At 46.8% G+C, this 21,297-nt stretch overlaps 1 protein-coding gene across 1 annotated transcript in view, besides 1 other annotated feature; it reads right to left on the reverse strand.

Annotated features, from left to right (window-relative positions):
- POLR1A (RNA polymerase I subunit A) overlaps window positions 1-21,297 on the reverse strand; it is an 85,671-nt gene that overhangs the window by 20,388 nt on the left and 43,986 nt on the right. Inside the window, exons 15-24 of the mRNA NM_015425.6 lie at window positions 13,537-13,686; window positions 12,214-12,397; window positions 8,557-8,639; window positions 8,281-8,439; window positions 6,562-6,660; window positions 5,014-5,166; window positions 4,675-4,757; window positions 3,536-3,701; window positions 2,371-2,592; window positions 1,286-1,500 (exon numbers count right to left, since the gene is read on the reverse strand). Coding sequence (NP_056240.2) covers window positions 1,286-1,500; window positions 2,371-2,592; window positions 3,536-3,701; window positions 4,675-4,757; window positions 5,014-5,166; window positions 6,562-6,660; window positions 8,281-8,439; window positions 8,557-8,639; window positions 12,214-12,397; window positions 13,537-13,686 — 1,514 coding nt within the window. The remainder of the gene's footprint in view (window positions 1-1,285; window positions 1,501-2,370; window positions 2,593-3,535; window positions 3,702-4,674; window positions 4,758-5,013; window positions 5,167-6,561; window positions 6,661-8,280; window positions 8,440-8,556; window positions 8,640-12,213; window positions 12,398-13,536; window positions 13,687-21,297) is intronic.
- Window positions 4,628-5,827: an enhancer, noted in NCBI's record as "BRD4-independent group 4 enhancer chr2:86272354-86273553 (GRCh37/hg19 assembly coordinates)". NCBI's record gives its function as "activates an origin of replication core promoter dependent on BRD2, P300/CBP, MED14 and CDK7 cofactors, and independent of BRD4, by STARR-seq in HCT116 cells {active_cell/tissue: HCT116}" and the evidence as "EXISTENCE:reporter gene assay evidence [ECO:0000049][PMID:35650434]".

Genomic DNA, 21,297 nt, shown 5'->3' on the forward strand with positions numbered 1-21,297 from the left:
TCAGGAGCAGACACCACAGACTGTCAATGCTGCCCGAAACCAGAAAACTGAAACCTCTACCTCTTTCTGGACTCGTTTTTCCTAGGCAAAAGATCCCTCTAATCTTCAAATTCCCACCAGTGACCCTGAGATGTCCTCAAATTACACAGCACAGATCCCAGCTGGGTGGCTGAAGCTCTAGACATTCATGCTTGGACTCCTCATGTTTGCCCCCAGAATGTCACATATCCACTCTGGGACTGTTACCACAAGCCCCCTAAGCAGGAGAATTTCTGGGTTCATTATTCACTTTTTCCTTTATCCATTCTTTCTTCTCAATTATGACAATTTGGAGACAGTTTAAACCTCCTGCTATAAAAATTAGAAAGAGGTTCACTAGGCCATTATGGGGATGGGGGTGATGAGAGTGTTTATATTTTTAGTTAGTGCAAATGGCTGCAGACCACATCAGAAGTATTCATGCCGCACGATTCTGTAATTTACTAACCATTTTTCCTATGAAGCCTGACCCTGTTAAGAACAGCCACTAGGAGCGCTGAGCTACACTGTGTGTGTGTGTGTGTGTGTGTGTGTGTGTGTGTGTGTGTGCGCGCTGAGCTACAGTGTCTGTGTGTGTGTGTGTGTGTGCTGAGCTACAGTGTCTGTGTGTGTGTGTGTGTGTGTGCTGATCTACAGTGTCTGTGTGTGTGTGTGTGTGTCTGTCCTAGTCCAAGCTGAGGCCTTCAAATGGGAACCCAAAGCTCAAAGGTGTGTGTGTGTGTGCGCGCGCGCGCTGAGCTACAGTGTCTGTGTGTGTGTGTGTGTGTGTGTCTGTCCTAGTCCAAGCTGAGGCCTTCAAATGGGAACCCAAAGCTCAAAGGATTACTGGAGTAATCGGATCCAAGGCCTCATGAGAAGTTAAGACCTGGTGTCCCTGGGCATGAATGACCTGCCCTGGGTCACACGGTTGGCAGCAGGTGAACAGTGACCAGATTCCCTGACTCTCAGTCAGCCCCACCCACCACACCAAACCCAAGAGAGCAGACTTTCCTGCAAGCCTCCCAGCAGACCACTATCCCTATCTTGGCCCAGATGGGGGTGTCCACTCCTGCCTCCCTTGCACTTGTTCACTCCTGGGCCCTTGGGGCTTGTGCGTTGCCCCTGGCTGTCTTACTGCCCTCCCTCTAGCTGAAGTCTCAAACCCAGGAGGCAGCCCTCTTCCGGAGTGAGTAGGGCAGGGGCTAGGAGGCAGGGGCTAGGAGGCAGATTCTCCTGCACATGTTGTGCAACAAATCACTGTCAATACCTGTCGAGAGAAAGCTCTGATTTCTCATAACTCTTCTCTGTTTGAGCTGCCCACTCTTGACTGTAGTCATCAACCTTTGTTTCAAATGTTTCTGACACTGATGCAAAGTAGATGTCAGGACGCCAGACAGACAGACTGGGGTCAGGACAAGCGGCCGCCTTCTTCTGGTATTTCCTTCGGCTTTCCTCATCCAACTCATACCACATCCTCAGCATCTGAACAGAAGGATGGGTCTCAGCTATGTGGGAGGGATACCCAGTAGCATAAGAGGGATCAAAAGCATTGGCTTCCAATGAGAATAAAGGGAGACAGAAAGAAACCTGATTGCAATGAGAAACCATCTCCCCATTTAAAATGGGGAGAGACTTCAACCTGTCCTAGGGCACCCTGCTTGACTATAAGCCTAGCAGCTCTTCATCCTGGCCCATTCAAGCCCAGGGAGGGCAAGCATGTAATTTACTGAGCAAACTGGGCTTCTTTTAGAGTGAAACAGGAGACTGTTATGATTAGGCTAGGACAAGAGGCAAAGCCACGACTGTCTCAGGCCAGCTAGGATGCAGTCACTGTGCTGGATCCATGGTTATTTCTGGATCCAGGCTCTTTCACACGCTCTGTGCCCTCAAGGCTGTCCCAAAGTGACTGCTTCAAAGAGATCCCCTGCTTCCAGCTCCCAGGTGTGCTTGGCTGATGGGAGGCACCAGCAGCAGAGGGAAAGGCAGGAGGAAGGGGATCCTGGTATTTATCCTCAACCCCCCTCTAGTGGGTCTCTACCCAGGGCTCTGTCCAGTGGCCCTAGCACATAGTCGTCCTCTCCGTTTCTCATGACTGCTCCCCATTCCTTCACACCTGGGATCGCGGGGAACCCCGAAGTCACAGGCCCCAGTTAGTCCCCCCAAACCCTGCCTACACCCTTGTTAAGAGTCCCCACCTTACATTCCCATTTGAGAGCCATTCTGTTCTGACTGACGGTGAACAAAGCTGGAGTTCATGATTCTACCTTCTCTTAGGAAAACAGCCCCTCATCCCTCACCCACTGACTAAGCCTGGACGTGCTGGACATTAAGGACACCACCTCCCTGCATCACCTCCTGAGTCCCAGGGCTGCGGCCATTGCGGTTTTCACTCTCAAGTTTCAGGGCTTTCACAGCTTCCTGAATTTTCTGGGAATAACTCAAGAAGGCGCCTCTTCTCAGCAGGGTGTTGGGGTGCTTGCTTTGCCATTTTTTGATAGCTCTGAAGTGGTGGAGAGCTTTTTTGGGATCTGCTCTGGATAAAACTTCATGGAGATGCTGTGATTTCATTATCACCTAAACAAACAAACAAAAAAACAAACAAACAAATCACACACATGAGATCAAAGAGATGAGGGCGTGACAAGAGGGCCATGGAGCACAAATTCAGGGGACCCAGGTGGCTGGTGTGGAGCCCTCATGATGGGGCCGAGCACCACTCTCAGAGAGGCTGAGCATCCATTGTTAATCAGGGCCCTCACTTTGTGCAAACCAGATTTGGGAACCAATGGTCTTGGGAGCAGAGGGAGACACAGGAAAGAAAGCAGCACACTCAGAGCCCCTCCAGGAGCACAAGGGAGTTTCTGGGAAGAAAGGAAGAGGGGAAGAGTGATGGCCAAGCTCAGGGATAGGAACCAGGATGGAAAGGACTCAGCACCAGAGCACAACCCTCAATTCTACCATCAGCTTGATGACCTTAGACAGGTCACATCGGTTTCAGTTTCCCTATCTGCAAATGGGGTGACTGCCCAGTCAACAGTGATGGTCACTACAAGGGCATTAAGGTATACAATGAAAATCATGAGTTTGTGTCTGACGGGCCCATGTTCAAATGCTGGCTCTGCCACTCACCGACTGTTTACTTATGCTTTGATACTCAGTTGCCTCAGCTGCAAAATCGGCAGAGTAATGCCTACTTCCCTGGGTTGCAGTGAGGAGGAAAACGGATAGTATTGATAGTGTGCTTTAGCTGAGGGCCCAGCACACGGCAAATGGCCCCAAAGAGTAGGTATTATTCCAGAGGTGCTCGTGCCCTCCAGCCACCTCAAGTGATGAAAGTTCACAGGCTTTGAAATTGTCAAGTGTTTCAGGGCACTGACCGGTGTCTTATAAACCCTTCCCACTCTACTTTCCAATGGCCACTTGGACTGGGTTGCAAAGCTCAGCGCATTCCAGTTCTCTAACCTCGGTGGGGGAGGCCTACTGCTCGGCCCCCAGGCTCCGGGATCTAGCACACTACCTCGTAGTTGCTGGCCAGGAAGGGGAACTGCTTGGGCTGCAGGAACTGTGTCTTGGGGATGTCCAGGCCATCCTCCCCATACAGGAACTGCACCACACTGCCGTCACTGTCACGGACCGTGAGATCATACTGCACGACCAGCCCCTCTAGGTGCTTGATGATGCACCTGTAAGGACACCATCGGCTCAGTCCCCGCCGGCCCATCACCTCCCCAGGGCAGCCTCTGATGAGGGTTGGGGGCAGTGGAGGGGAGGGAAAGGGGGGCTCCTGTTCTGCAGGCAAACAAGACTTCAGAACAGGCTAGATCCAATGCCCCGGGGTCTGGGCTTGCTCCAGTGTCCCCCAGCCAGGGGCTGCATTTCCTGATGGTTTTCTAGGAGGAGGAGGCTGCAGCCATGTTACTGAGCAGCTTGGCTGCCACCCCTAGACCTGGGCTCCCATCTAGCCCCAGCTGCTGAGATGACTGTCTGCCCCTACACTCTCCCACAATGCAGAGCTCCCCAGAGACCAGTGTCCTTAGAACCAAAAGACGGGCGAAGCAGGGGAGCTGTCAAGGATTCTCAAACTTGGTCAGCCCAGGGATTGCCAAGGACACTAAGGGGTATTGGGAACCACATGCTGATGTGAATCCCTCCACTGGCGGCCTTTCTCCTCAGTTTTATCTCAACTTCTTCTGCTCTCTGCCCTGGTCCTAGCCCCTTTGCTTACCTCTCCGGACACTCTGCCTAGGTTTCCCCTCCTGCCACCCTAACAGTGGGCTTCCCAGCAGTCACTGTCCCTCCACCCCAAGCTGTGGGGACAGAGCTCAATGTTAGTCACTACTGTCTTGGCAGCTGAGCCTTCTAGGAAGCAAGATAAGCTTGCCACTGCCCAAGACCTTCTCCCACAGCCATAGCTTCCCCCAGGGAATGGCAGACCCTCAGAACACAGAGCCCTTGGTATAAGCCTCTGAGCTCATGCTCTACCGATCCTGCGAAGGGGAACAGTGTTTGCTGCTTTCTGTCTCAGGCCATTCATGGAAACTTTCCAAAAGTTTTTTCATCCAAGGAATCTTAAATGAGCTGCTGATATAATGTGAAAGATGATGGCAGGAAGGGCCCTGGCACTCTACCTCAAGGGGCACGGCAGATACATTTTACCTTTGGAGATAGCCTGAGCGGCTGGTTTTCACAGCAGTGTCCACCAGGCCCTCTCGTCCTGCCATGCAGTGGAAGAAGAACTCCTGCAGAGAATGGGACCCAGGTCCCAAAGGTGACAGTGAGGACAGTGCGCTTCCTGAAGGGCTCAGGCCAACACCTCCAGCAGCCTTTCCTGACCAGACAGGCCACTCCCTTCCCTGATCTCCTAGGACTTTTTGACCTCGACAGCTACAATAGCCCCCAGTGTCTTCTGCCCTACCCTGTAGGGCAGTCATAGTTCACCTACAATTAAGCCTAGAAATGAGGGAAAAAGCTAAATGGAAAAACCAAAATACATACAGGAGGTTTGATGCCGGTGAGGAACCTGCCAGTGACAAAGCCACCAGCCCTGGGGGTGAACTCATAAGGCTCAAAGCAGGGCAGTGACTTGCCAGACGCCATCAGCGGGGGTCTCCGACCTTCCAGTTCAATCTGGCCCAGCAGGCACGAGATCTGGAGGACAGGAAATCCACAGGAAACTGAAGATCCACATGTGTGTTTAACAGTGCTTTGTCCCAGCAGGGAAAGTATAATCTGACCTTGAAGAAAAGCTGCATGGAAACCGAGTTCTTGAAGGCTAACCTACATTTCTAAACAAACCAGGAAGCCTTCATTTTAAGAAAAAAAAAATACCTTCCTTTGGTTGACTGATCTGGATTTTCACATTTGGGGTCAGTTGAAAATGGGTGCTCTCTATAAAAAGAGCCATGTCTCAGAACCATCTCATGTTATACCTGTAAAGGACTGGAGGGTCCTGATGGGGAAAGAGAGGCCTGCAGGAAACAGCCATTTATTGCGATCCTCACATTCTAGAGCCAAAAGGGAACTCAGGGCCGGGTGTGGTGGCTCACATCTACAATCTTAGCACTTTGCGGGGCTGAGGCAGGAGGATCCCTTGAGCCCAGAAGTTTGAGACCACCCTGGGCAATACAGGGAGACTCTGTCTTATTTTCAATTAAAAACAAAACAAAACAAAACACAACAACAACAACAACAAAATGGGAACTCAAGCTATTGAGCTATTTGCTTAGAAAGCTGCCTGTTAATACTCTTGGCGTGTTGGAGGAGAGCAGTATATCTAGGTTTCGATGTAGTCAGGGGATTTCCTAACGGCTTTCGGCCTTTCTGTTGTCACACTCAACAGACAATGGGGTGGGCCTTTAGACCCTCTCAAGGTCACCAAGGTTTAAGGTTAAGAAATCTCTAGGACAATGTTTATGTTTATAATTTAATATTATGAAAAGATCGGCCAGGTGCGGTGGCTCATGCCTGTAATCCCAGCACTTTGGGAGGTCGAGGTGGGCAGATCACGAGGTCAAGAGATTGAAAGCATCCTGGCCAACATGGTGAAACCCCGTCTCTACTAAAAATACAAAAATTAGCCAGGCATGGTGGCGCATGCCTGTAATCCCGAGAGGCAGGAGAATCTCTGGAACCTGGGAGGCAGAGGTTGCAGTGAGCCAAGATTGCGCCACTGCACTCCAGCCCGGTGACAGAGCAAGACTTCATCTCGAAAAAAAACGAAAGAAAGAAAGAAACAATCATGCAAAATTACGTAAAAATTGTGTGAGTATACATAATTTATCTATATAACGTGAATATATGTAATAGTACAGTTTGTAAATTTGTAATATATATCTACGTTATACATATCCCATCTGCATATTCATAACTACATCTGCCTTTAACATTGGCATGTTAACAGTGGTTAGCTCCTGTAGTGATTTCTACACGCTTTCCTCTTTTTACTTGTCATGTTTTATAGGGAACAAACTGAAACCACCTCCTGCTATCCCCCACCTGCCTTTGCTGACACCTGTAAAGCTGCCAACCCGCCTCTGCACATACCTGCATCGTGTTCACAGTTGAACCTTTGGCTCCCGACTGCACCATCATCTGCAGGCTGTTCTCTGGGAACTGTCTGTGTAGGCCAAAAGGCATGCATGCCTGCAGATTAAATCAGCACAGTGGTCAGTGACTTCACCTTCTTTAAAAATCCCAGAATCAGGATGTAAATCCAGGAAGCAGAAGCAATACAGCCAGAATATTTATTCAGACCTAAGTACCAAATCCCACTCGAGGTAAGAGAAAGCCTCATTCAGCATTAATCCTTCCCTGGAACCCCTGAGAGGTCAAACAGGTGCTCCCTGCCCTGCACTCGCTGGACTTCCTCTGCCAGGATCCCCGAGGTTTCATTCATTGGCCAAAGAGCAGCAAAAAGGGAGAAGGAAAAGGAGAAGTAGAGGGGCTGGCAGATCCAGTTCGTGATTCTAAAAAGAAGCTGGAGAAGAATAAAATTTAAGGTGATGCCCTTGATTCGCCCAGCAGAGCCTGGCCTGGGTCCTCTCCCAGCGTGAATACCAACATCCGCATCATGTCACATTTACGAACATGCCACCCAAGCCCCATGTAGGAAGCTCTGTCTTGGCTCAAGAGCCAGCAGAACCAAGCATGCCCCTTCAGGGGGATCCTGGGGAGATGCTGAGAAGGGGGCTCTGAGTCTGGGGCTTCTAGCCTGTGCCTGGAATTCCACAGACTTGGCCCAACACAGGAGAGGCAGAGCCTGGGTGGGCGGAGGTGGTGGGAAGAGGGCAACTGGAGGGACAAGAAACCATTCTGAGATGCATCTGAAGACAACTTCCCTACTCCTAGCATCCCCAGTCAGCCCTAGAAGCTGAGCTTCCTGGTTCTCAGGGAGGTGCTAGGAAAGCTCCTGTCAACAAAACCCCTCAAGGATGGAACCTGTCCCCATGAGAAGTCGGTCTTCTCAGCAGCCTAAGGGATGCTAAAAGCCAGGCAAGAGAGCACTACAGACGAACTTTGACTTTTGATGAGTGTTGGCATTGCCTCCTCCTCCCCACTCCTCAGGCTGGGCCCCAGGGCCCAGGAGGCAGGGTGAGGGCCAGGCCAGCTCCTCCAAGCAGCAGGATGGAGAACCCTGGCTCTGGGGCAGAAAGGCAGAGAAAAGCAGGCTGTGGTTTCAGCTCATGCAGAGATTTCCCCTCTCCTTTCTCAACTGCCCAGGAACTGGCTTGGCATTGTGTACTAGTAGCTCCTGAAGCCTCTCTGCAGCCCTGTGAGGTGGTGCCCCTCACAGCCCCACTTCCAGGTGAGGAAACCAAGGCAGGGACTGGTTATCTCACTTGCCCAAGGTCACACAGCAAGTTCAAGGCAGAGCCAGGACTGGAACCTGAGCCTTCACTCCTGGCTCCGCTGCATGAGCAGCCAGGGCGATCCGGGTCCCTCACCCTGCTTATTCACCCCTGGTGGCCCCATTCAGCCCCTTTAATGCAGTCACCCCAAAATAAAAACATTTATAAAGAAAAACAGCACAAAGCATTCTCTCTTGGCACTATTCTGAGGCCTGTATAGACCCTAACTGGGGCAGGGAACAAAGCCCTGGGCCCTTCAAAACAACGAGTTCTACCCATCCCACCTCGCATCTCACCTAGTCAGCTGTTCAACAGCCAAGGTGCTCTGTAGGGCCCAGGTGAGAATCAAAATGTAATTTTTTTAAAAATCAGCATTCATAGTGGTGGGGATAAATGCATGCAATGCTGGGCTAACCTTGTTAATCTCATTGCTGTAATGGTTCACTTCCTCCTTGAACTTCAGATCAATCATGTTAAAATCCCTCTGGTCCTTGCCCAGATGGGCATCCTGCCATTTTCCTCGGACCTCATCATATGATGCGGCTTCTGGCAGGTTTAATGCAGCCCTGACAGCCTAGAATGAGAACAGAAACACAGCGGAGGCTGAGGCCAAACGACGAGAGTGTGGGTTTTGACTCAGCACACACTTCACCCCTCTAGGGCAGGCCACGGCCTCGAAGTCCCTCCTTACCTGGGGCCCGCAGTGGGTGGATTCTTCAATGATACGTTGCCTCTTGACATCTGCCTTTGGCTTCACCAAAATGTCTTCCACGCCTGTGAAGTGAAACAGACAAGCTTGTAGGCGACCTCAGGCCTGATTTCTCCCACCAGACTAAACTCAGTAAGGCCAGAGCACAGAGTCCAGTGCCACAGATGCAGGAAATACCTGAGTAAGGAAGATGATATTAACATCATTATTAACAGATTGCCACCATCTCTTAGGTGCTTACCAGAGCCCAAACCTTATAATCCCCATTTTACAAATGACAAAACTCAGGCTCAAAATTGGGCTACTTTCCCATGGTCGTATGGGTAGAAAGTAAACCCAGGCCTGGGTCCCAAATTCATGTTCTTAGCCACCAGCTATACTATCTCCACTCCATAGACATGTGTTGGATGAATAGGCTGAAGGTGAAGAAGAGGTTTTGGATGAAAAGATAAGCTCAGGGAAAAAGAGAGAGAGAACATCTCAGTCTGGGGTCCCAGAAGTCACATGTCACAGGGGCCACCCTATATAGCTGAGTATACCTGTGTAGGCACACACACAGACACACCCGAGCCTGGGTGACAAGGACCACCACCACAGGTCCCTCAGCATTGCTTCAGGAGGATGACAGCCTGGGTCACTTCAGTGAAGCCTGCCCTTCTGGCTCAAAGGGTTGAGGAATTCCTCATCCTGGGCAGCAGTAGGTCTTTCCACATCAACTCTTGATCAAACTAGTGTTTTTTTTTTTGTTTTTGTTTTTTGAGACTGAGTCTTGCTCTGTTGCCCAGGCTGGAGTGCAGTGGTGTGATCTCGGCTCACTGCAACCGCTGCCTCCCAGGTTCAAGTGATTCTCCTGCCTCAGCCTCTCCAGTAGCTGGGACTACAGGTGCACGCCACCACACCCAGCTAATTTTTGTATTTTTAGTACAGACAGGGTTTCACCACGTTGGCCAGGATGGTCTCGATCTCTTGACCTCATGATCCACCTGCCTCGGCCTCCCAAAGTGCTGGGATTGCAGGAGTGAGCCACTGCACCTGGCCAAAACTAGTTCTTTTCTGCAACTGTAAGTGCTACTGGACTCAAGAGTCCCTCAGCCAAGATCTGAGTGGGAAAGAAAACAGCAGGTGTACTGTTCAAAAGATGGGGCTGAAATATTTGGAATTCCCAACGCAAGGTCCTGGAGGGCTTCTAAGAACATGTGTGAACAGAAGGGGAAAGAAACAGTTCCTCTGTAAGCAGGCCACACCGTGAAAGTGGGCATTCCCATGGGTTCAGCTACAGGCCAACTAGCTGTGCCCTTTATGGACCCCGCTAGCTGAGACGGGCTGGAGTGAAGTCAATCTCTCGCCTGTTCCCCCTTGTAGCCCCACTCCCAGCTTGGCCCTGCTTCCTTCTGCAGCCCTGAGCCTCTGGATCATCTTCACACTCAAGGGACCAACTGCTCTTTGTACCATGCACTAAGCAGAGCTAAAGCCTGGCACCTTTGTTAAGTTTGTTCCTCATCATGAGCTGGGTGTGGGATCTTCCTCTATTTTCGTTTCAAAAGCGCTCTGATTTTTTCTAGTTAGCAGAAATCCTTGTGCTTATTCTAGGTCACCATTTGAAACTGAAATATACATTTCATGAGGTGTAGTCATCATGCTTCACTTTCTTTGGTTATCCTGGAAGGTACTCTAGTCTGGTTCCCAACTGGAAGTGGGTGACCTTGGACCTTGAGCCCAGAAGTGGCTCAGGTCTCTTAGTGGAATTAAGATGGGGGAAGGTGAGTTTCAGCTGCCAAACAGACTTAACTTATAATCCTTATCCTGGTAAAATAATGGGACATATAAGCCAAGATGTTTGTTCAAGGATGCTCATCCCAGCAATAATGTGAAAATCTGGACGCAGCCTAAATGTTTAATTATAGGAACTGGTTAAATAAACTACAATATATCCATAAGAATGGAATAATCTGTAATTACCAGACATGAGGATGTAGACTTGTATTAGCTGATCCCAAAGGACATTTATAAATACATTTGGACATTTGGTGGGTGGGTGGGTAAGGGAAGTAGAGTATGTAGCGTAGGATCCCACTTTTTCCAAATGTATTTGTACTAGAAAAGTCTAGAAAAACAAACATCAAATTACTATTAGTGGTTATCTCTGACAAATGCATGCTGGGTGATTTTAAATTATCTTCATGTATGCTTTTTTTTTTTTAACCTTTCCATGATTAAATATATGATACAATTAAAATAGAATAAAATGTATAATGCAGGCCCCAGTGTGGGCCAATGAACAAACTCCAGCTGCAGCAGCTGCAGGTCCACAGGCCCTACGCTGAGACTCCCACTCTGTCTGCACACGAGTGGGTCTGTGAAGCAAAGGAGCCTTACTTCCACCATGAACCAGACAACGCCTATGCACACTGCGGTGCATGCCTGACACGCAGCATCTCGCGTCCCCCTAACGCGAACAGCGTGGAAGGGCTGGACCCTGCTCTGTGTACATGGAGGTGCAGTGTCCTCCATAAGCCTGGCCAGGGGCTGAGCCTTTGGACAGATCTGATCTCAAGCCCACACTAAAAGGGGCCAGGTGACTGCTTCAGGGGAGCCCCAGGGCAGTGAGCCCAGCACTCACCCAAGGTGAAGCCTCTTTATCAAAGCCATTTTCCTAAAACAGCGTGCACTCATTTCTGGGGTGCAAACAAGGTAGTTCCTCTTCGTGTCTTAGGATCACCCCGACAGGTTTGCCCAGCATAGTGTTTCCAAGAGCGCTGATGGCCCCACCGCAGTGGGAAGGCGTGGGCAGTTCTTTGGCTCCATCACCCAGGCTGGAGTGCAATGGCACAATCTCGGCTCACTGCAACCTCTGCCTCCTGGGTTCAAGCAATTCTCCCGCCTCAGCCTCCTGAGTAGCTGGGATTACAGGTGCTTGCCACGACACCTGGCTAATTTTTGTATTTTTAGTAGAGACGGGGTTTCTCCATGTTGGCCAGGCTGGTCTCGAACTCCTGGGCTCAAGTGATCCACCCACCTTGGCCTCCCAAAGTGCTGGGATTACAGGTGTGATCCACTGCACCCAGCCGGCAGTGGGCAGTTCTGACAAAAGGGAAACCCCTCTGTGGAGTGGGATGGGCCCTGAGAATTCTGAAAGGGCACTTGTGTAGCAGGGAATGGGGTTGTAAGAGTATGAGAAATCAGTCCGAGGACAGAAACCTGTAAAGGGAGGGGTTAGGAAAGAAACAGAATGGAAATGGGCACGAGGGTGCCATTCTGCACTGTGAACGGGAATAAGCACTGGCTGTGGAGGAGAGGGGTGGCCAAGTGAGGGCGCCTTTGTAGGAGGAGCCTGGTTACTTCCCAGCTCCTTCCCGAGAGGACACAGAAAAGAATTTCTAGCTGTGTAATGTAGCACACATGAAGCATATGGTCTACAAAGGAAAAGAAACCTGGCAGTTTTGGGGGTGAATGGACTATCTGTTAAGACCCTGTAATAAAGCGTGGTGCACTGGGGACCTGGAAAGACTTCTCCACTGGGAACACACAGAAGCCTTGGAAATCTTCAGTGTGGACGGCTCTCTCTGTCCTGGGCCTGGGAGATGGCCAGGCGGCTGCGCTGACGGGTCACTGCCCCAGGGCAGCGAGCCCGGCACTTACCCAAGGTGAAGCCTCTGTAGAGCTGCAGGTAGGCGGTGAAGAGGCGGGCCAGGCAGGTTAGAACCTTGCCGCTGGTCTCGCCTCCATAGATCTCATAGCAGCAGTGGACCAGGCCGTAGGCGGAGCTCCCATAGTGCGCCTTGTCCAGCACTCCGCAGAGCAGCTCCCCTTCCCTGATGATCACCTGCAGAGGGCAAGGCCACCAATGCCGGGCTGCGGGTGATGCCTCCTGTGGGAGTCACCCACCCTCTACTCCATGTGTGACCCTCGTTGTGCAAGTCCCTCTACTGTGACCCGCCTAGAATCCTTCATGGAAAAAAGTAGGGCATATGTGAAACTAGTATTTTCTCTCTATATATATTATTATTATTTTTTAATATAACAGAGGCAAGCATATACAGACCAGCAGTTTTTTTTCTTCCCTTCAGGGACTATACCACAGAGACATACACACACACTCACACTCTCTCTCCATGTGTTTTATATCCCCTACTCCCCACACCCACCCACGCTGACTTGAGGTCAAGTATCCTTGACAAAGACCTGTGACCGGACATGGGAGCTTCTAGTTACAAGGTCTTCCTGAAGTGGCGAGCTTCAACCTCGTAACTGTGCCTCTGGCCTAGGTACTTCCTCCCTTGAACCCTGGGAGTAACAACAAAATCTTCCTAACATCCTCTAAGGCCTGAATGTGTACTTTCTCAAAGCTGGGTTAAAGCATTAGAAGCTAATGAACAGAAAAGCATTTCTAGCTGCGTAATGTAGCACCCATGAAGCATATGGTCTATAAAGGAAAAGAAACCTGGCAGTTTCGGGGTGAATGGACTGTCCATTAAGACTCTGTGATAACGCGTTGTGCACTGGGGGCCTGGAAAGACTTCTCCACTGGGAACATGCAGAGGCCTTGGAAATCTTCAGTGTGGACAGCTCTCTCTGCCCTGGGCCTGTCCTTTTGTGGCCTGGTTCCTAAGGCTCAGAGTTATGGGTGTGGAGCCTTATACCAGTTTGATTATCTGAAGCCACTCAGCAGTCTTGCAGGAAAACAGGACTCTGCATTGCCAAGCTTTGCATAATCAATTTCAGCCTTTTTGCAGGAGAAGCTTTCCTAAACTGCTTGTGAGTTTTATACTGAGGGTCAAATGCTGGAGATCAACCCTGAACCCTTCCGAAACAAAAGCTGACAACAACTCAGGCACAACGCCTTCTCTTCTGAGGCACAGTACCTGCTTCTGTGAATGTGCCTCCATTTCTGTCTCCATTTTAAACCAATCTGTCTAACCCCGGCACTAGAAGTCTCCACTCCACACAGCTGGACAGCCATACCTGGGACTCGCACATCGAGTCAGGGTTAAAGCCAGGAACGGATCGAGGAGTTTCCTTCACCCAGGCTTTCCCAGTGATTTTCGCCTTTCCAGATAAGTTCAGTGGGATGTGGTCCTCTGGGATTATATTTATGAGCAGCGTTGACACAACCTGCAAAGAAAAAGAGGACAAACTGATGGCAAAAAGAAAAGTGATGGCAAAATGAGGACAAACTGATGGCAAAAAGAAGAGTTAAGAACTTCCCTTTTAGGACCTCCTGCCCTTGCAATGCCATTTCTGATGATCTCAGGTATGGCAAGAAAAACAGACAGGTCCACCTCCATAGGACAAGGTGATTTCAGGTTTTATTTAAACCAATGAGGAATGAAAACAAAAAAGAACTTCACTGGGATTTTTACTCCCTAAAATAGTTCTTAAAGTGAATAATCCCCTAGACTTGAATTAAATTCCTAAATAGACCAAAGGAAGGAGAGGAAAAAGTAAATTGTTTTCATTTTATGCCACATACTCAGATATTTCTTTACTATGACTGGAATTAATTATAGCTACTGAAAAGCCAAGGAATCTTTCCCTGGCCCCAGTTGGATCCCTCAGAGGGGTCATCCACCCAACAAGCACTGCTAACAGGAAGCCAAGAGAAGCGCTTTCTCAAGCGGCTGCTCTGCAGAGAGCTCAAAGGGAGACAGCTTTATCTGGAGATAACCAGAGTTGGCTACAGAAGGGCCGAATGCAGGTGCACACATTCCCAGAGATGAAGCAGGGCAGGGGCAGACCGGCAGGTGTGACAGGCTCCAGGGCTGGGAGACTAACTGCCATCAACAGCGCTTAGTGTGCCTGCAGCAGGCCCCACAAAGTAGTGTCTTTAGATGTGTGCAACGAGGGCGCGGTGGCTCACGCCTGTAATCCCATCACTTTGGGAGGCTGAGACGGGTGGATCATGAGGTCAAGAGATCGAGACCATCCTGGCCAACATGGTGAAACCCCATCTCTACTAAAAATACAAAATTTAGCCGGGCATGGTGGCGTGCACCTATACTTCCAGCTACTCAGGAGGCTGAGGCACGATAACCGCTTGAATCCAGAAGGCAGAGATTGCAGTTAGCCAAGATCACATCACTGCACTCCAGCCTGGGTGAGAGAGTGGAACTCTGTCTCAAGAAAAAAAAGAGAGTGGGCAATGGGACAGGGCAGTTATAAGAGCAGCTGCCTTTTCACCCACGTGCACCAGGAGCAGGGGACAATGGACAACAGCATTATTAAAGAGAGCAGAAAATATTCTGTTTTCTCAGCAGAAGATGACCAGAAAGGTTATGACCCACACTCTCCATGCCTCAACTCCATAGAAGGCCAGCACTGTGCGGTGAGTGGGGTGAGGGAGCAAAGGCAGGAGAGTGACACGTCCTGGGGTGCCTACTTCAAGCTGCACCTCAACCAAGGTGCCACATGCACAGTGGGGACCCCCAGGCTAGGCATAGTCAAGACTGGAACTTGGTGTGAAAGGTAACAGAAACACACCCATCCAAGGGCAGGGAAATATGACCTGCCACTTCATCTGTAAAATCAATGGGGCAGAAGAGCATTTGATAAACTCCAACACCCTTTCAGGATAAAAATACTCAACAGACTAGGAACAGACTGTCACCAACCTAATAAAGGGAGGCACCTATGAAAAACCTACTACTAACATGCTCAATGATAGAAGACTGGATGCCTTCTGCCTAAAGTCAGGACCAAGACAAGGATGTCTACGCTTGCCATTTCTATTCAACAATGTACTAGAGGTTCTAGCCAGGGCAGTTAGGCAAGAAAATAAATAAAAGACATCCAGATTAGAGAGAAAGAAGTACAACCACATTTGCAGATGACATGATATTATAGAGAGAAAACCCTTAAGTGCCAACAAAACAAATTATTAGAGCTTGTAAATGACTTATTCAAAGCTGAAGGATACAAGGTCAACATATAAAAATTAATTCTCTTTCTCTATATTAGCAATGAACAATCTGAAAATGAAATTAAGAAAAAGTTCCGGCCAGGTGTGGTGGCTCACACCTGTAATCCCAGCACTTTGAGAGGCCAAGGCAGGCGGATCACTTAAGGTCGGGAGTTTGAGACCAACCTGGCCAACATGGTGAAATCCCGTCTCTACTAAAAATACAAAAATTAGCTGGGCATGGTGGCGGGTGCCTGTTATCCCAGCTACTCGGGAGGCTGAGGCAGGAGAATTGCTTTAACCAGGGAATTGGAGGTTGCAGTGAGCCGAGATTGCGCCACTACACTCCAGCCTGGGTGACAGAGCGATACTCCATCTCAAAAAGAAAAAAAAAAAAAGAAGGTAGTGCTAAGCGAGAAGATCTAGCTAAGATCACTGATGAAGGTTGCCGCACTAAACAATAGATTTGCAATGTAGATAAAAGAGCCTTCTATTGGAAGAAGATGCCACATATAGGACTTTCACAGCTAGCGAGAAGTCTGGCTTCACAGCTTCAAAGGACAGTCTGGCTCTCCTGTTAGGGGCTAATGCAGCTGGTGACTTTAAGTTGAAACCAGTGAACATTTACCATTGTGAAAAATCCTAGGGCCCTTAAGAATTATGCTAAATCGACTCTGCCTGTGCCTATAAGTGGAACAAAGCGTGGGTGACTGCACATCTGTTTACAGCATGTTTTGCTGACTATTTCAAGTACCTGTTGAGACCTACTGCTCTGAAAAAAAGGTTCCTTCAAAATATTACTACTGTTCATTGACAATGCATCTGGTCACCCAAGAGCTCTGAAGATATGCAAGGAAATTAATGCTGTTTTCATGTCTGCTAACACAATATCCATTCTGCAGCCCACGGATAAAGGAGTTATTTTGACTTTCAAGCCTTATTATTTAAGAAATACATTTCATTAAGGCTGTAGCTGCCATAGATAGTGATTCTTCTGATGCATATGGGCAAAGTAAATGGAAAACCTTCTGGAAATGATTCACCATTCTAGATGTCATTAAAAAATTTGTGATTCATGGGAGGAACATCAGTATTAACAGGAGTTTGGAACAAGTTGATTCCAACCCTTAAGTATGACTTTCAGAGGGTCAAGACTTCAGTGGAGGAAGTAATGGCAGCAGTAGTAGAAATAGAACTAGAATTAGAAGAATCTATAAAGGAAAAAAAAGAACAAAAAATAAGTGTTGGTGAAAATGTGGAGTAACTGAGACCTTCATACATTGTTAGTGGAAATGTAAATAACACACCTGATTTGAAAAATAGTTTGCAAGTTCCTCAGAAAAGTTGAATATAGAATTACTATATGATGCAGCAATTCTACTTCTAGGTATATACCCAGGAAAACTGAAAACACACGTTCATACAAAAACTGGTACACAAATGTTCATTGCAGGTTTATTTGTAGTATCCAAAAAATGGAAACAATCCAAATTATCCATTTATCAACTGACAAATGGATACAGAGGAAACAATGGAATGTTATTCATCCATAAAGAGGAATAAAGTACTATTACATACTAAAAAATGGATGGAACTGGAAAACATTAAGTAAAAGAAATAAGTCATAAAAGGCTACATATTGTTTGATACAACTTATATGAAATGTCCAAAACAGGCTAATTCATACAGGTAAAAAGTAGTTGTCAGGGGATGAGAAGGAAGGAGGAATTGGGACTGACTGCTGTACCTATTAGGTACATGTCATCTTTTTGGAGTGATGGAAATGTTCTGGCATTACAGTGTGGTGATGGTTGCACAACATAGTGAATACACTAAAAACCTACTTATACACTTTGAAATGGTCCTTTAAAAAAAAAAGAGAGACAGGGTCTTGCTCTGTCACCTAGGCTAGAGTGCTGTGGCACAATCATAGCTCACTGCAGCCTCATACTCAGCCTCCCAAGTAGCTAGGGCTATAGGTGTGTGCCACCATGCCCAGCTACTCTACTCTACTCTCTCTACTCTACTCTACTCTATTCATTTATTGAGATGGAGTCTCGCTCTGTCGCCCAGGCTGGAGTGCAATGGCACGATCTTGGCTCACTGCAAGCTCCACCTCCTGGGTTCAAGTGATTCTTTTGCCTCAACCTCCTGAGTAGCTGGGATTACAGGCATGTGCCACCATGCCTGGATAATTTTTGTATTTTTAGTAGAGACAGGGTTTCACCAGGTTGGTCAGGCTGGTCTCAAACTCCTGATGTCGTGATCCGGCCGCCTTGGCCTCCCAAAGTGCTGGGATTACAGGTGTGAGCCACCTCACCCAGCCTTTTTTTTTTTTTTTTTTTTTTAAATAGAGATGGGGGTCTCACTGTGTTGCCAGGCTGGTCTTGAATTCCTAGCCTCAAGCAATCCTCCTACCTCATAAAATGGTAAATTTTATGTTGAATATGAATTATATCTTAATGAAAAAAAAAAAAACATAAAGGACCCAGACAAGAGGAACTGAAGTCTCCTCTTGCACTAACATTCTAGAAATGTATAATTTACTTTCTGGTCATAAACTATGCTAGGGAGAAAAAATCTGCAATGTTTTCTTAAACCAAGAAGGGCAGCAATATCTATGGGAATTATTATTTATACTAAGCCTGTATTAACCTTAAAAAAAGTCTTAAAAATAAAATGGATTTAAAAAAATGTATTGAAATGTCTATATCCTTTGACCCAGCAATTGTACTTTAAGAATTTATCTAACAGATATACTTGGCCAGGCATGGTGGATCATGCCTGTAATCTCAGCACTTTGGGAGGCTGAAGCTGGAGGATCACTTGAGGCCAGGGGTTCGAGACCAGCCAGTGCAACACAGTGAAACACCAGCTCTACAATAATAATAATAATAATAATAAAAGATAAGTCAATGAAAGTACACTAACATATACAGAAATGGGTGTTCACCACAGCACTGTTTAGAATAGTAAAAACCAGGTAATAATCGGAACATCCACTAATAGAGGGACAGTTAAGTCATCTGTGGTATACCCATATCACTGAATACAACACAGGAGGGGTTAAAAAGAACGAGGCAGATCTACATGTACAGACACAGAATGAGCCCCCAGTACATCCAGTGAATGAAATCAGTCACAAGACAATTACAAAAACATTTGTCAGCATAGCCTATGAAAACATTTAAATGAACTTCTTGCCATATTTAGAGTGTGTTAGTGTGGTCCCAATGAAAAAGCAGACTGTCTGATATAATGGAGTTCCCTTTGGAGGACTTGGTGGCTCGTTCAGAGTAAGCCATCTTAAAGACCAGCCAAATCTGAGGTCCATGTGCCTGGCCATCAGGAAAATGCATGCTTCAGGTACCAGGATGTCATGGTCAAACAGGTGGTTGTAAATATCAGATTTATCAGGTGGTTGAATGTCAGATTTAATTGTGGTTCATGGTTCTCCTGAACAGTCCCAGGGAAGGTATGATATGATTTTATTATTTCTTTTATTTTTTTTGAAACAGAGTCTCGTTCTGTCGCCCAGGCTGGAGTGCAGTGGTGCAATCTCAGCTCAATGCAACCTCTGCCTCCCACGTTCAAGTGATTTTCGTGCCTCAGCCTTCTGAGTAGCTGGGATTACAAATGTACACTACCACCCCTGGCTAATTTTTATATTTTTAGTAGAGACGGGGTTTTGCCATATTGGCCAGGCTGGTGTCAAACTTCTAGCCTCATGTGATCCACCCACCTTGGCCTCCCAAAGTGCTGGGATAATAGGCATAATCCACCATGCCTGGCCTCATTCTTATTTATTTTCTATGAGAGTATGTGTGTATATGGAGAGTGGGGTTGGGGAGGGAGGGAGTTTTTCCTTTTATCTTTATCAATAAACTTGTTTACTTTTATAGTTTAAAAGAACTTGAAGGACAGAGATCTAATAACTGAATTCATAAAGCTTGTCGAATATAAGGACAATATACAAAATTAATTGTATTTCTAGACACCAATCATAAACAATTAGAAAATTTAATAGACAGTATCATCTACCATAGCAGTATCCAGGAGTGAATCTAATGAAAAGATGTATAAGGCTTTTACATAATTGAAGGACATACTATGTTCATAATTTAGATGACTCAATAGTGTAAATACGTTGATTCTCCCTAAAGTGACCTACAGAGGCAATGCAATCCCAATGAAAAATTCTAGCAGGTATTTGTGTGCACAGTGTGAAAGTTTACAAGCTGACTTTAAAATTTATATGGAAATACAAACACCCCAAAATAGTTGACAGTCTTTTTTTTTTAAAGGTATATTGAGATGTAATTAAAGCCTATCAAGGCAGTCTTGAAGAACAAAGCTGTAGACTTTTACTATCAGAAGTCAAGATTTAGTATAAACCCACAGTAATTAAGACAGTGTGCTGTTGGTGCAATGGAAACAAACAGGGTCCAGAAACATACCCACTCATATATTACTACTTGGTTTGTGACACAGGAGTACTAGCAGTAGAGCAGTGGACTTTTCAACAAATGATGTTGCATTCACTGGCTAGGAAATCCATATGGGAAAATATGACTCTTGACCCCTACCTCACTTCATGCACATCCACAAAAATCATCCCTAGGCAGATAGCAGACCCAAGTGTGAAAGGTAAAACAATATAGCTACTAGACGATAACAGAGGGGAATACCTACAAGACCTCAGGGCAGGCAAAGAGCTCCTACAGGACTAGTCACAAAAAGCCAAGATTGGCTATAAATTAGAAACTTCTGATCATTAGAAAACAGTATTAGGTGAAAAGGCTAGCCACCAAGTAGAAGGTATTTGCAATGTATATATCTGCTAATGGACTTATACCAAATTATAGTTTAAAAACCTCTCATCTGTCAATAAGAAAATGACATAGAAATAGGCAAAAGATTTGAAAAGGCACATCACAAAAGATGATATCCAAATGGCCAATAAGCATATGAAGAGGTGCTCAACCTCTCTTGTCATTAAGGACATGATAATTAAAACAGTAAGATACCACTACATACTCACCTGAACAGCTAAAATTAAACAAATAAACCAGAAAAAGAAAACAACAACAACAGCTGGGCGAGGTGGCTCATGCTTGTAATCCCAGCACTTTGGGAGGCTGAGGTGGGTAGATCACCTAAGGTCAGGAGTTTGAGACCAGCCTGTCTAACATGGAAAAACGCTGTCTCTACTAAAAATACAAAAATTTGCTAGGTGTGGTGGAGCACATCTGTAATCCCAGCTACTCGAGAGGCTGAGGCAAGAGAATGACTTGAACCTGGGAGGCAGAGGTTGCAGTGAGCCAAGATGGCACAACTGCACTCCATCCTGGTAGAAGTGTGTATTATTACAAGCATTTTGGAAAACTTTAGGAAACTATCTATTAAAGTTAAACACATATCTTATGACCTAGTAATTCCATGCCTCAATAGTTACCCACTGAAATGTATATATGTGTTCAACAAAAGATACACACGACAAGTGTTCACAGTAGCCCCATTTGTAACAGTCAAATGAAGGTAAGTGAAGACAACTCAAATGTGTATCAATAGAAAAATGGATAAATACATGATGGCATATTCACATAATAGAACATTATAAAGCAATAAAAAATAAACTGCTACTATATACAATAACATGGGTAACACACAAAGATAGATTTCATTTAAATAAACTTCAAGGAAAGACAAAACTTGTTTATAGTGTTGGAAGTCAAGTTAGTAATTACCTTTGACGAGGGGTAGAAACTGGGAGGGGCCGTGGAGGGGTCTTCTGGGGGTGCTGGTGATATGCTACTTTCTGATCTGGG

Source organism: Homo sapiens, chromosome 2, assembly GCF_000001405.40.
Source record: "Homo sapiens chromosome 2, GRCh38.p14 Primary Assembly".
Lineage (NCBI taxonomy): Eukaryota > Metazoa > Chordata > Mammalia > Primates > Hominidae > Homo > Homo sapiens.